The sequence below is a fragment of the Homo sapiens genome, chromosome 1 (genome assembly GCF_000001405.40).
Source record: "Homo sapiens chromosome 1, GRCh38.p14 Primary Assembly".
NCBI lineage: Eukaryota > Metazoa > Chordata > Mammalia > Primates > Hominidae > Homo > Homo sapiens.
Genome location: NC_000001.11, coordinates 233199829 through 233212271, shown reverse-complemented (window position 1 = coordinate 233212271; position 12443 = coordinate 233199829). Strand labels below are relative to the sequence as shown.

General features: G+C 41.8%; 1 protein-coding gene across 7 annotated transcripts in view; it reads left to right on the top strand.

Annotated features, from left to right (window-relative positions):
- Window positions 1-12443, top strand: part of PCNX2 (pecanex 2) — a 343895-nt gene that overhangs the window by 115058 nt on the left and 216394 nt on the right. For all 7 annotated transcript variants that reach the window (XR_001737430.2, XM_047430870.1, NM_014801.4 and 4 more), the window contains 2 exons: window positions 3583-3754; window positions 12008-12118. Coding sequence is in view for 6 of the 7 variants with exons in the window: in XM_047430870.1 (XP_047286826.1) it covers window positions 3583-3754; window positions 12008-12118 (283 nt within the window). In the remaining variant the exon portion in view is untranslated. The remainder of the gene's footprint in view (window positions 1-3582; window positions 3755-12007; window positions 12119-12443) is intronic.

The following is a 12443-nucleotide window of genomic DNA, read 5'->3' as shown; positions in this document are numbered from 1 at the left end:
CTTGTATATACAAAGTGTGGATCATAAAATATTTGCTGTGTAGGGTCACAGTGGGGTGGTGGGTGCCCGCCCCCAGCTGTCCTTGCTTGCTCCACATACAAGGGGAACCAAAGAGCATTATGAACATTTAGGATGGCTCTGAATGTACAAGTGAACTGCTAAAGCTAAAGTAAAAACGAAATCATCAACAGCCACCAAAAAATAATGTTTAATTAAACTAACCTACACCATTGTGAGAAATGATAAAACACAGCAAACCCTTGTTGCAGTGATGAGACTTCAGTGTACGTGACCATAATGTCACAGGGCAACAGCCGAGAAATGGGCAGAGAATGTCTGGGTTTTCGACACCTTCCGCAAGTTAGGAGCCCTTTTCTCTGCCCAGAGTCCTTTGAAAAAACTGACACCCTAAGACTATCATGGATGCTTTCCTCATTCTCCGAATTTGCTTCACATGAGTAATGTTCACATTCTGTGTTTAAAGAGTGGTGAGTATGAATGAAATTTTGTGATGTCAGGCTGAGTCCTTGGGTCTGGAGAATCCAGTGCCACATGCATGCCTCCCCATGGTTGGTAGAGGAAGCCAGGCAAATGGGGCTCCAGTCCTTACTCTGCCATGCTGTTTTCTGTTGGTGAGGCCTGGGACAGTTTCTTCATCCTTATGTCTCAGTTTACTCTTATCAAAATGAGAATAGTATATGCTTCTCAGGGTATTCTGAGGGTTCGCTACATGAATACACTTGAAGTAGGTAGGACACTCAGTGTCTGGGATGCAGGAAAGGCCAGACAAACATTAGCTGTTGTGGCTGTTGTTGTTTTATATCAGTTGTCAAAAAGAATAGCTGGTCAGGAGAGGGAGGCAGCAGTGAGCTATGATCATGCCACTGCACTCTAGCCTGGGTGACAAAGCAAGATCCTTTCTTTAAAAAAAAAAAAAAATCTGAATGTGGGGGAGACAGGAACATTTGTCAACTCAGCAGATGTCAGGGGCTCTCTTCTGTCCCAGGGAATGAAGCCTGGAGCTGGCACATGCAGCAGAGCTGAGAGAGAGGATGGAGGCAGCCTGGCCAGGCTGTGCACAGACCTCAGGTCATTCCCCTTGAGGCCAAGCCGTGTGCCTCTACAATTTTCCCAGACACCCCAGCTCCCTTACAACAAAAACCTTTCTCCCCACTTCACAACAACAGAACATTCGAAGCAGCTGACCATTCCACTGTCTCTAAGAGGATAATTAGGATGGCCTCGTCACTTAGCCACAGGCACCACTGCTTGCCACAGGCAGGACTCCTGGAGTTTTTGTTCGAGTCTCGAACCTTGCTCCTTCTCTGCACTGAGACTAGCATTTGGGTGATGAGACGGCTTATGGAGGTAGGGCTGATGGAAAACGCAAATGCACACAGAGATCTGCTTTTGTGCAATAGCCTTGCAAGATGCTCCCCAGCTGAATTCCACTGGTGCTCCCTACAGTGTATTTTAAGGTTAAAAGCAGATGGGGCCTGATGGTGTCAAATGAGTTTTTAAGAGATTATGATCAGACTTCAGCTGGCGGAGCTACTGGAATTTTTCTACTGGAAAAATTAAAAAATCAGTCCTTAGGAGATTTGATGATTGATTCATATGTGGCAGTAGGAATTGAAGAGCAGGGACATTTTATTAACAGGTGTTCTCAGAAATCAAGGCAAACAGAAGTAGTGGCCAGGCACAGTGGCTCACAACTGTTATCCCAGCACTTTGGGAGGCCAAGTCGGGTGGATCACCTGAGGTCAGGAGTTTGAGACCAGCCTGGCCAACATAGTGAAACCCCATCCCTACTAAAAATACAAAAAATTAGCCAGGCATGGTGGCGGGTGCCTGTAGTCCCAGCTACTCGGGAGGCTGAGGCAGGAGAATGACTTGAACTTGGGAGATAGAGGTTGCAGTGAGCCAAGATCATAACACTGTACTCCAGCCTTGGGCGACAGAGTGAGACTCGGTCTCAAAAAAAAAGTGGTTTGTGTGCCTTGTATTAGCAAAATGCTTAGTATGGTTTGGGGACCCAAAACATAGAATGGGAAAATGTGGTAAAGCAGTAACATGGTGATGAGGGCAGGCTTTTTGTGACAGTGCTATAAGTTTTGTTTCATAAATTACAAATAGAGAGAAAACCTTCCCATGCCCAGTAAAGTTTGACTTGGAAGATTCAAAATACTATCTCAGACTTGTTAAAGGCTAAAGACTTTTAATTTTTAGAATAATGTATTTTTAACCTTTTAATCAAAGAAAAAAAATCAGAGCAAGTGGAAAGTAGCTATTTAATGATATTTCCTAAACCATGCCAGTTTGAGGAAATGTCTCATATACATGTGTATTTGTATACTGCATCGTTATTTATACCAACACATTTATTTTGCTATTCACTTGATGAGAAATACATTTAGATTGAACTTGGGCTTTAGCTTCAGTTTTTAAAAATGCAACAAAAGTATTCCCATACCCATTAATCTATGACCTAGTTGGATTCAAAAGGAAATTTCATAAGAGTACAAGTATTCTTAAGACTGAACCTGGACTCTGGGCCAAGCATAGCCAGCCTCCATGGACAGACTGTGTTTTCCTTCCTCTTAAAAGATGGTCTTAGAATAGGACGATTTCTATTATAGAAGCAGTGGCAATTTAAATTGCATTTCTAAATATAACGTGTTCAAGGCAGTGACTTTAAAAATTCACATCTGAAACCATATCACTTTAATCCTTCCTTTTTACACTCAAGGCAGTTCATGAATTGCAAAAGACATTTTTCCCAATTCATTTTCATTGTTTTTTTCCCCCTGAATCTTATAAATTGTGCATTGATTTATGAGATGTAAATTTTTTGTTGGCTTTTGCCCTGAAAAGTTGATGTTGTATCTTTTCCTTAATTTTTCTCTCAATTCAAGAAGAATAAAAAATAATTCTACTTTGCCTCATAACAATAGGCATAGGGATAAGATCAGGTCTGCTAAATATTTGGTATCCCTCACAGGAAAATGCTGTGTACATAGTATAAATAACACTTTTTTTAAGCTGAATGATTCCACTGTGCACACTAAGACATTTTATGTAATCTCTGCAGGTATAACTTCATACCCATATTGTCTTGCTTTCTAAGAGACTGGGAAATTAAAGCCCACAAATTATAATTCTATTTCTTATTAATAGTGGCACCCAAGTGTAGAGCAAACAGTGGTTTAAATTAGTTTTGCACTTGGAATGAACAAGATGAATGGAAGTTTCACTGTTGGGGAAAGCATTGAATTAGATCTAGATTTTATCTCAGGATGGTAATTAAATTTTCAGGTAAATCTTGTTGAGAATGATAGGCATAACATTTTTTTTTTGATAGTCTCATTCTGGTTTGACAGAATAAGAATCAGACTTTTTTTTTCTTTTCTTTTTTTCCTGTTTTTTTTTTTTTTTTTTTTTTTTTGTATATGAATTGTGGTGTTTGGGGGAAAATGTGTTATATGTATAAGTTATATGATATAGTGTAAATTATTGACTATGAGGCTTTTTTCATTTAATCAAAATAAGAGGTACCATTCAGAAATTGTGTTTGTTTTCTAGGGACACAACCAAATCATAACATATAGCAGACCAATCTATTTTTGTGTGCTGTGTGGCCTTATTTTGCTTCTTGATACAGGGGCCAAAGCCAGGCACCCTCCCAGTTACGTTGTGTATGGCCTGAAGCTCTTCTCTCCAGTGTTTCTACAATCAGCTAGGGACTACTTAATAGGTGAGTTAATTATGGGGTTGTGGGGAAGAATATGGGGGTTGGGGGTATGTCTCCCCTTTGTCTTCTGAATTTCTAAGCTTCCTTACTTGATTATTGGGTGAAGAGATGTGCACTTTCCTCTTGGCTTGCATATCTACCGAAGACTGTCTGGGAGCCCAAGCCTCAAAGCATCCAACTATGGAATTATTTTTAAAGGATTTTGATATTTATGACCAAGAAGTTGCAGCACTATAATGTCCATTATAATAATGCCCATCCGGGCTGGGCACGGTGGCTCACACCTGTAATCCTAGCACTTCGGGAGGCCGAGGCCGGTGGGTCACCTGAGGTCAGGATTTCAAGACCAGCCTGGCCAACATGGTGAAACCCCGTCTCTACTAAAAAGATACAAAAAATTAGCCAGGCATGTTGGCGCATGCCTGTAATTGCAGCTACTCGGGAGGCTGAGGGAGGAGAATTGCTTGAACCCGGGAGGCAGAGGTTGCGGTGAGCCAAGATCACGCCATTGCTCTCCAGCTTGGGCAACAAGAGTGAAACTCTTTCTCAAAAAAAAAAAAAATAAATGCTCATCTGAAGAATGGTTGTTACGGTGCCTGCTGGGGATGGTTTTGCCATCAGGGTAGCAGCATGAATGGGCACGGTTCTCAGTCCAGGAGGAGTCCTGAATACTCAGATCACCCAGTCTTCCACCAATCCCTTTGCTTGACTTAAGGTTTAGGCAGTATTTTATATAAAACGCTCTGTTTAAACAAGTCACCTGCATACTGTATGGTTTTGAGCCCTGACTCTGGAGCCAAACTGCTGATGGTTTGAATCCCAGCTTTGCCACTTCACTAGGTATATGACTTTGAGCAAAACTTAACTGTGATATAAAGGCAAAAATATTGGCCACCTCAGAAATTACTGAAAATTTTAAATGAGTTGGTATACTTAGACATAGAGAGCAGTGCTGGGCACCAAGCATCAGCTGTTGTTGTCCCTTTTATGCAAAGTGATTGCTCCGGTATTGACCCGACGGCATATGCTCTGAGAATTCTTGCAGAGACATCCAGGGGTTTGCACACCTGCCAACTTGTTATTGTCTGTGATCACATTGACCAGCTGAGTTGATAAAGGGCAGCTTCTACCAACATCACTAGCTGGATCTCTCGCTTGCCAGCTGGAAATCTTACTCAAGAGACTGTCAAAGCCTTTGGTCCCACATCATCCTTTCCCAACTTCTGTGACAGCCCCCTTGAATCTCTCTAGTGGAACTAGGGAGAGTGCCCAGGTATGGTGTAAGCTTTGTTTGTGCTCCTTATAGGTGAAAACCCTGGTAGGCATTCTACCCTCTGGCTTCCCGTTCCTCTTCCTGCTGCTTTGATAGTGAACTCTTCATTCTTACTCCCCCAGTGCCCAACCCACCACAAGCCCACCTTTCTATGCATCCTCAACACATCTTTTCCTGTTACATCATTTGAGAAGCAGAGTAACTTCTTCTTCTTCTTCTTCTTCTTCTTTTTTTTTTTTGTTGGAGTCTCGCTCTGTCTCCCAAGCTGGAGTACAGTGATTCAATCTTGGCTCACAGCAACCTCCACCTCCTGGATTCAAGCGATTCTCCAGCCTCAGCCTCCCAAGTAGCTGGGATTACAGGCATGTGCCACCATGCCCGGCTAATTTTTGTATTTTTAGTAGAGACGGGGTTTCACCATATTGGCCAGGCTGGTCTGACCTCAAGTGATCCGCCCACCTCAGCCTCCCAAAGTGCTGGGATTACAGGCGTGAGCCACCGTGCCTGGCCAGAATAGCTTCTTAATGCCAAAGGATTACGCACCATGCTTCAGAGAACCTCTGAGCTCAATTAGGAAACAGAAACATGTTGGAAAAAAAATAAGAACAGATCCATAATTTGATCTCCCAGTCAGTGCCCTCCTGCCCAAGAATATTTGCTTCTATCCTTCCTGATATTTTTTACTTTACTTTTTTTTCAGTCCTATCAGTTGGAACAAACACATACACAACAAGAAAGGCCTTCTGTCATTCTTATATTTTATAACTTAGTGCGCCCATATTCCTCACTAAGTCGGCTGCAGTGAAAAAATCAGAGTTTGAGTAGACAGAGATGCTCACTCATGATGGCACACTTTGCAGGGCCATCCTTTCCTGCCATCTTCTTTTTGCAAACAGCAGTGTTGGAGTCCACAGCTCAAGGGCACATGAGGACCTGGAGATTAGAGAAGGAGAAAGCATAAAATAATTTTGGAAGATGTCCAAGAAACGATTGTCTATGTCAAAATGCTGCCTTTTCTCTCTCTGCACTCCACACTCCCTCTTGGGTACCCCCAGCCATCTTTTCCTGGGATCTTGAATGTGGGTTAGTGTTGATAGAGTGCCACCTCTTACAGGTCCCAGGGATCTGTGGCTTGAGCTGGAGCCGTAATTACTGTGGCCCCTTCTCATCCCTTTCTCATCCCCTTCTCACACATTGTGTTCCTTCCACTTGGAAGCTGTTCTGCGGCCTCCCCCGTCCTTCATTATGCTGGCTCATAACACCTCATTTCCCTAAGTTTGGCCCCATTGTCTATCCTCTCACTACCCACACTTTCATAGTCCTTAGCCCATTTTGTAGCAATCTGCTCACACTTGTAATATCAAAATAATGCCTGTCCCTCTCACTAGCTTATTCGCTCAGAAAAGGCAAAGCAGAGACCCTGCATGCTTTCTTACCACTCAATCCTTAGCAGTGTCTGGCATTTAGAGGCACTAAATAAACATTTGTTGAAAGGATGAACCAATGAACATTAAAGTCCGTGTTTTTTGTTTTGTTTTGTTTTTTTTTTTTTTTGAGATGGGATCTATCTCTGTTGCTCAGTAGAGTGCAGAGGCACGATCTAGGTTCACTGCAACCTCTGCCTCCTGGGTTCAAGCGATTCTTCCTGCCTCAGCCTCCCAAGTAGCTGGGATTATAGGTGCGTGCCATCATACCTAGCTAATTTTTGTATTTTTTAGTAGATACGGGGTTTCACCATGTTGGCCAGGCTAGTTTCGAACTCCTGACCTCAGGTGATCCACCCGCCTTGGCCTCTCAAAGTGCTGGGATTATAGGCATGAGCCACCATGCCCGGCCAAAAGTCTGCTTTAAGTACTAAAGATATTTATGTACAAATAACTTTTGGAATACTTCCCATTCATAAGTCAGATAAGGCTATAGTCCATTTGGACCGTTTAACTCAGCCCTTAGAATAAGTAGGGACTTAAAAAGTGCCTTTTGCCAATAATCTGTAGAAAGAGGTTTGGGGCATGAAGAGCATGATGTGTCTTCCATTTACAAATTGCTTTTCTGTACATGGGTATCTCCCTCATTCCTGGTTTTTAAAATTTTTATTTGCTACTGTAAAAAAGTCAACTTTGGAATAAGTGTAGTTGTCTTGGTGTGGCAAACTTACAATGGCATTGGGATGTGAGGTGTTATTAAAGCTCAAAAAATAAGACCTTAATGTCTTAAATAATTGTTAAAAGCCTAAGATTTTACTTTTAGCAGTAACCCTTGTTCTAGAATATCCTACTAGCTATGCATATTCTTATTTTATTTTATTTTTAAATCAATTTCATTAGGGATTGGAGAGGGAACATTCTTTTCCACTGGAATTCCCTTTCTCTCATTAAAGCTTCTGCCTAATACATATTTTTGTTTGCTTATCAACAGTGACAAGTAAAAATGGCGATAAATAATCCAGCAAGCCGATTAAATAACTTCTGGGGTAAAGATAAATAGAAAAATAGAACAATAGCAATCCCTATGGAATGAATGTGTTAAACATACTAATTTGCACTGAGCAGGAAAAGGTTGTGAAACAAATTTAGAACAAATGGGAGAGAAAGGAAAGAGATAGTGGCTTACACTACTTTTCTGACTTTACGTGGGAACACAAGGGCTACTTAAAGTCATTTCTTCCTTGTGGAACTTATTCACTGTCTATTCCCTCAACTAGCAAGGGATGTAAGTAGTCTAAAGCTGCTGCCATTGCTATATGGAGGAACTAGCAAGGAGAGAAGAAAAACATTGGGAGAAAACAAAAGGTTATTAGGAGGAAAAAGAAGTGTACAGCTCTAGGAAGCGTAATACTTCCTAGAGCCGCTGTAACAAAGTACTCCCCACTGGGTGGCTTAGAACAACAGAAGATTATTGTCTTGCAGTTCTGGAGGCCAGAAGTCCAGACTCAAGGTGTTGTCCTCTGAAAGCATTAAAGAAGGACCTGTTCCAGGCCGTTCTCCTTGGCTTGTAGGCGGCATTCTTCTCCTGTATATTTACATGGTGTCCCCTCTGTGCATGTGTGCCTCTGTGTCCAAATTTCTCCTTTTCATAAGGACACCAGTCATATTGAATTAGGGTCCAGATGGACCCTAAGGGCCTCAGCTTAACTCAATAATCTGCAAAGACCCTATTTCCAAACAAGGTCACATTTAGAGTTACTGGGAGTTAGAACTTCAACATCTTTTGTGGGAACATAATTCAACCTATAACGAGGAGCGTTTAAGAAAAAGGACAAGGGAGAAGAATTAGGTCCATGTGACATTTTTTCCCGTCGATTTATTGTGCTTCTCATGCTGTGTTGGGTACAAGTGGTCCTCCTCTGGCAGGTGCTAGGGAGCATGGAGTATTTCCTAGAGCAGTGTCTTGTTGGTGATGTATGGGTTACCCACTGCCACTCCTGGTTCCTGCAATTAAACCATCACCCTGTCAGAGCAGGAGGAGGTGGCAGAGGAGAGGGACAGTCAAGGAGCGAGGCCAGTCCAGTATCAGCATCTCCTTCTGCCTCCTTGTGCAGAAGAGATCAAATGCCTGAGCCAGTGGTATGAGATAAGTCAGGTGGACATGGCGCAGGTGGGAAGGATGGAGAAACTCCTTGTCATGTATAATGCAAGGAGAGAAACATCTCAAAGGAAGAAGGAAACATCAGATGATTGAAGGAGGAGAAATTCAGATGAATAAGGAGGTAGAAGCACAGAATAATATTCCTATGTAATTTCTTTTTCTTTTATGATCCCTCATATATGTTCAGAATATTACTCGGTGCACTTTTCCTTTCATTATAAGAAAAAATATTCTTTATTTTTATCCCCAGGAATAAGGTGAAAGTTATTAGTCCGCACTCATTTCCTGTGCTCAGTCTGAGACTGGTGACCTCTGGCTGGAATTTACATTACTTTCCTTGAGCAAAAACCTCTGAGTGAGACTGGCTTTGAAATTATCCTGTGGGTGAGAAAGCCAAAAGGTGTCTGATTCTTAGTACCATATTTCAAAAGGAGCAGTAACAAAACTAGAGCATGCCCAGAGGAGTGTGTAGCCACATGGCCTGTATGGGGTCTGGAAACTGGGTAATGGAACTGGGAATGTCCAACCCAGGGAAGAAACACTTGAGTGCTAGTACACACAATAGCTTCAGATCCTTAAAATGCTGCCAGGTTGAAGGGGAGGGATTTTATTCTCTTTTGTAGCCATAATAACTAGTTCCAGCAGATAGAAGATGGGTTACAGCTCAGTACAAAGAAGCCAGTAAAACGGTTTGGGTTAGAGCTGCCCTACCGTAGAATAGGTTGCTTAGTGAAATGAGTTCTCTGGCATGGAAAAACTTCAGGCACGATGAAATGTCCATCAGCTGTAGCCGGGTCCAAGCACTGGATGGGTTGTTTATCAAATGGCCTCTGCTCTGTGTTTTTTTGTTTTTGCTTTTTTCAGACCTGGGAGTTTTATGTTTTATTTTTGGTCCTTAGGTTTATAAATCCCTGCCAAAAATAATGCATCTTCAATAACGGAGACTGTAACTTTGGAGATAAGTGGAGGTTTTAGAACAAATCACTGGATTGTACTCACCTTTCCCTAAACACCCAGACGTCCCATTCCTATGTCTTGTTTAAAGGCTCATTTCTTGGCCTCAGTCCATATGAGGACATTTAGTTAATACACAGATAGGGCACATTGAAGACACACAATATATACATTCACATTGACTTCATAGGCTTTAGTTTTATTTCTGTGCCATTTTAATTCTGACTGCTTGCCCCTCAAACCTGCAAATATGGTAATTTATATCACTCACATTTGATAAAAGAAATAAGCTTAAGCTACTATATTTTTATTTATGAATTTTGCTTAAAAAGAAATGGAACTGTGCCAGAAGTTTCTGCATTGACTATAATTATTAAGGAAAATAAGAAGTTAGGAAGAAGTGAGAGGAAATTATAGGCCCACTCAGTGGTATGCTAACAGAAAATGTTTGTTCACAGGGAAAATTATGAACAGCCACAAAGACTTTTTTACTTCTGAAAAAAAAAAGGACAAAATAATTTCAGCAATTTCAAGTGTCATTTTCCTGAAGTCCTGGTAACATAACAAGCATTTGGCTGCTTTTTCCTTCACGTTCACTGCAACCTGACAGATGAGACACATGGACTCCCTCTTCCTCCCATTCCACCTCCACGACATTTATTTTAAAGACTAGAGCTTTCCTCCTCCAGGATGTTTTGGAGAGGATCTAGTGCATGGACCTCCTTGTTGACTGCTGTTCTTCCTGTATTGTTTCATTAAGTTCCAATTCTACACCCACAGCCAGAGCATCTCCAGGGATGACTTTCTGGTATTTCTTACCATTTTATCTTCCTCATGCCATTTTTCATTGTGTTCCAATTCTTTCCATTTCTTTGGGTTTTGTTGCACTGGCTAATGTATTTCTTATACAGAATATCTCTTTATCCTTGATTTACCAAATAGCTCCCAATATCTGGCTTTGCCTTTCATATCATTCCATACCTAGACTTTTCCCTGTGGTTCTTCATTCTCAGAGTAGTTTTTGTCACATACACATACAGCATTTGGAAAGGCAATTAATAAATCTCATTGGACCTTCCCTCTGCCCTGATCCGGAATTGGCAGATATAGCATAGCACAAAATTGTTATTGCTGGGTTTTGACCCCAAAGTAAAGAGAAGCTCTTCTCAGTTTGTTTGAAATTTTATGGAATTTTGTGGATTAAAATTTCTATGCTCATGACTATATGTTCTGTAATTAAATTTCTATTTATTTCTTGTATCTCTCCTTTCTATTGATAGAAACTGAAAAAGAAATGATGTCTTATATAGTTACGTATAGCATATCAGTATTTGTGCCTTTTTGTCTGCTTTGGTTGAGAAATAAACTGCTTTCAGATGCTCTACTTTTTTACAATATAGTTGAAATCTTGGCACAAAAATTATCACAACAAAATCACCACCTGTATCAAAACATGGCTCCAACACCAACCACAGCCCCTATTATTATAGATAGCCATGTTCATGACATAAAATTTTACTTTCACAAAGACTTGGAACAGTTCCTCAGTACTTTGTTCCATAGTGAATTTTAACCAACTTTTTTTTTTTTTTTTTTTTAATACTTTAAGTTCTGGGATCCATGTGCAGAACATGCAGGTTCATTACATAGGTATACCAACTTTTTTTTTTTTTTTTTTTTTTTGAGACGGAGTCTTGCTCTGTCGCCCAGGCTGGAGTGCAGTGGTGCAATCTCGGCTCACTGCAAGCTCCGCCTCCCGGGTTCACGCCATTCTCCTGCCTCAGCCTCCCGAGTAGCTGGGACTACAGGCGCCCGCCACCACGCCCAGCTAATTTTTGTATTTTTTTTTAGTAAAGGTGGGGTTTCGCCATGTTGGCCAGGCTGGTCTCAAACTCCTGACCTCAGGTGATCCGCCCACCTCGGCCTCCCAAAGTGCTGGAATTACAGGTGTGAGCCACCGTGCCTGTCCTGTCCTGTGTTTTTTTTATGTTCCTGTAGTTTTCCCAGTTTCCTTTCTCTTGCCCTCATCTCCCCCATGTCCAAGTCTACTCTTTCAAACTGAAGATGATTCTACTCTGACTCACCACCCCTGAAGTCTTTGCTCAGTCCTGGCCTTGTGTGCGTTCCTTTCATCAGTACTTCTTTCTCAGGATCAGCTCCTTGTATCCACAGACACATTTCCGTCTCAGCCTCCAGTTTCCTCCGGGTGAGAGGAGTCTAAGATTGCTTCCATGGAGGTTGCAGTGAGCCGAGATCGCGCCACTGCACTCCAGCCTGGGCGACAGAGCGAGACTCCATCTCAAAAAAAAAAAAAAAAAAAAAAAAGATTGCCTCCAGTATTCCTGGGTGGGGTGGTTTGGAAGGGGAGAGAGACAGCACTGCAGCAGGAGCCTTGGCAACACAGTTCCCCATGCTTATCGTCAATTTTGTTTGTTCATTTTCAGTATTTTTATATTGCTTCCCTGCTATTTCCCTCCTTGGGCTCTTCCCGCAAATCAACACTTTCTGCACTTATCTTTTGGAGCAAATTGACATGCTGTTTTTTGGTGGTTCTGGTAAGTCGTTTACATTCTATTCTTCCTGTAAAGGAATTCAGAGTTCAGATAAGGACTAAATAGCCTTAGGCAGGAGATGAGAGGCTAGTTAGGTTTTCTTTGTCCTGAGCATTTAAATGACTTCAGTTTGGATCAGTCTGGGTGATGATGGGCCTGTCCAGATTTCCTGTAGCCAAATTGGAAGAGGTCCACTTAGCTTGGTTGAGCGTAAGCACAGAGACAAGGAAGGGTAGAATTCTCTGTGATTTGGAATAGGTTTGAGGCCCTTCAAACTATTCCCTAAAAAAACACTCCGTGTGTGAATGTGTGTGAGCATGTGTGAGTG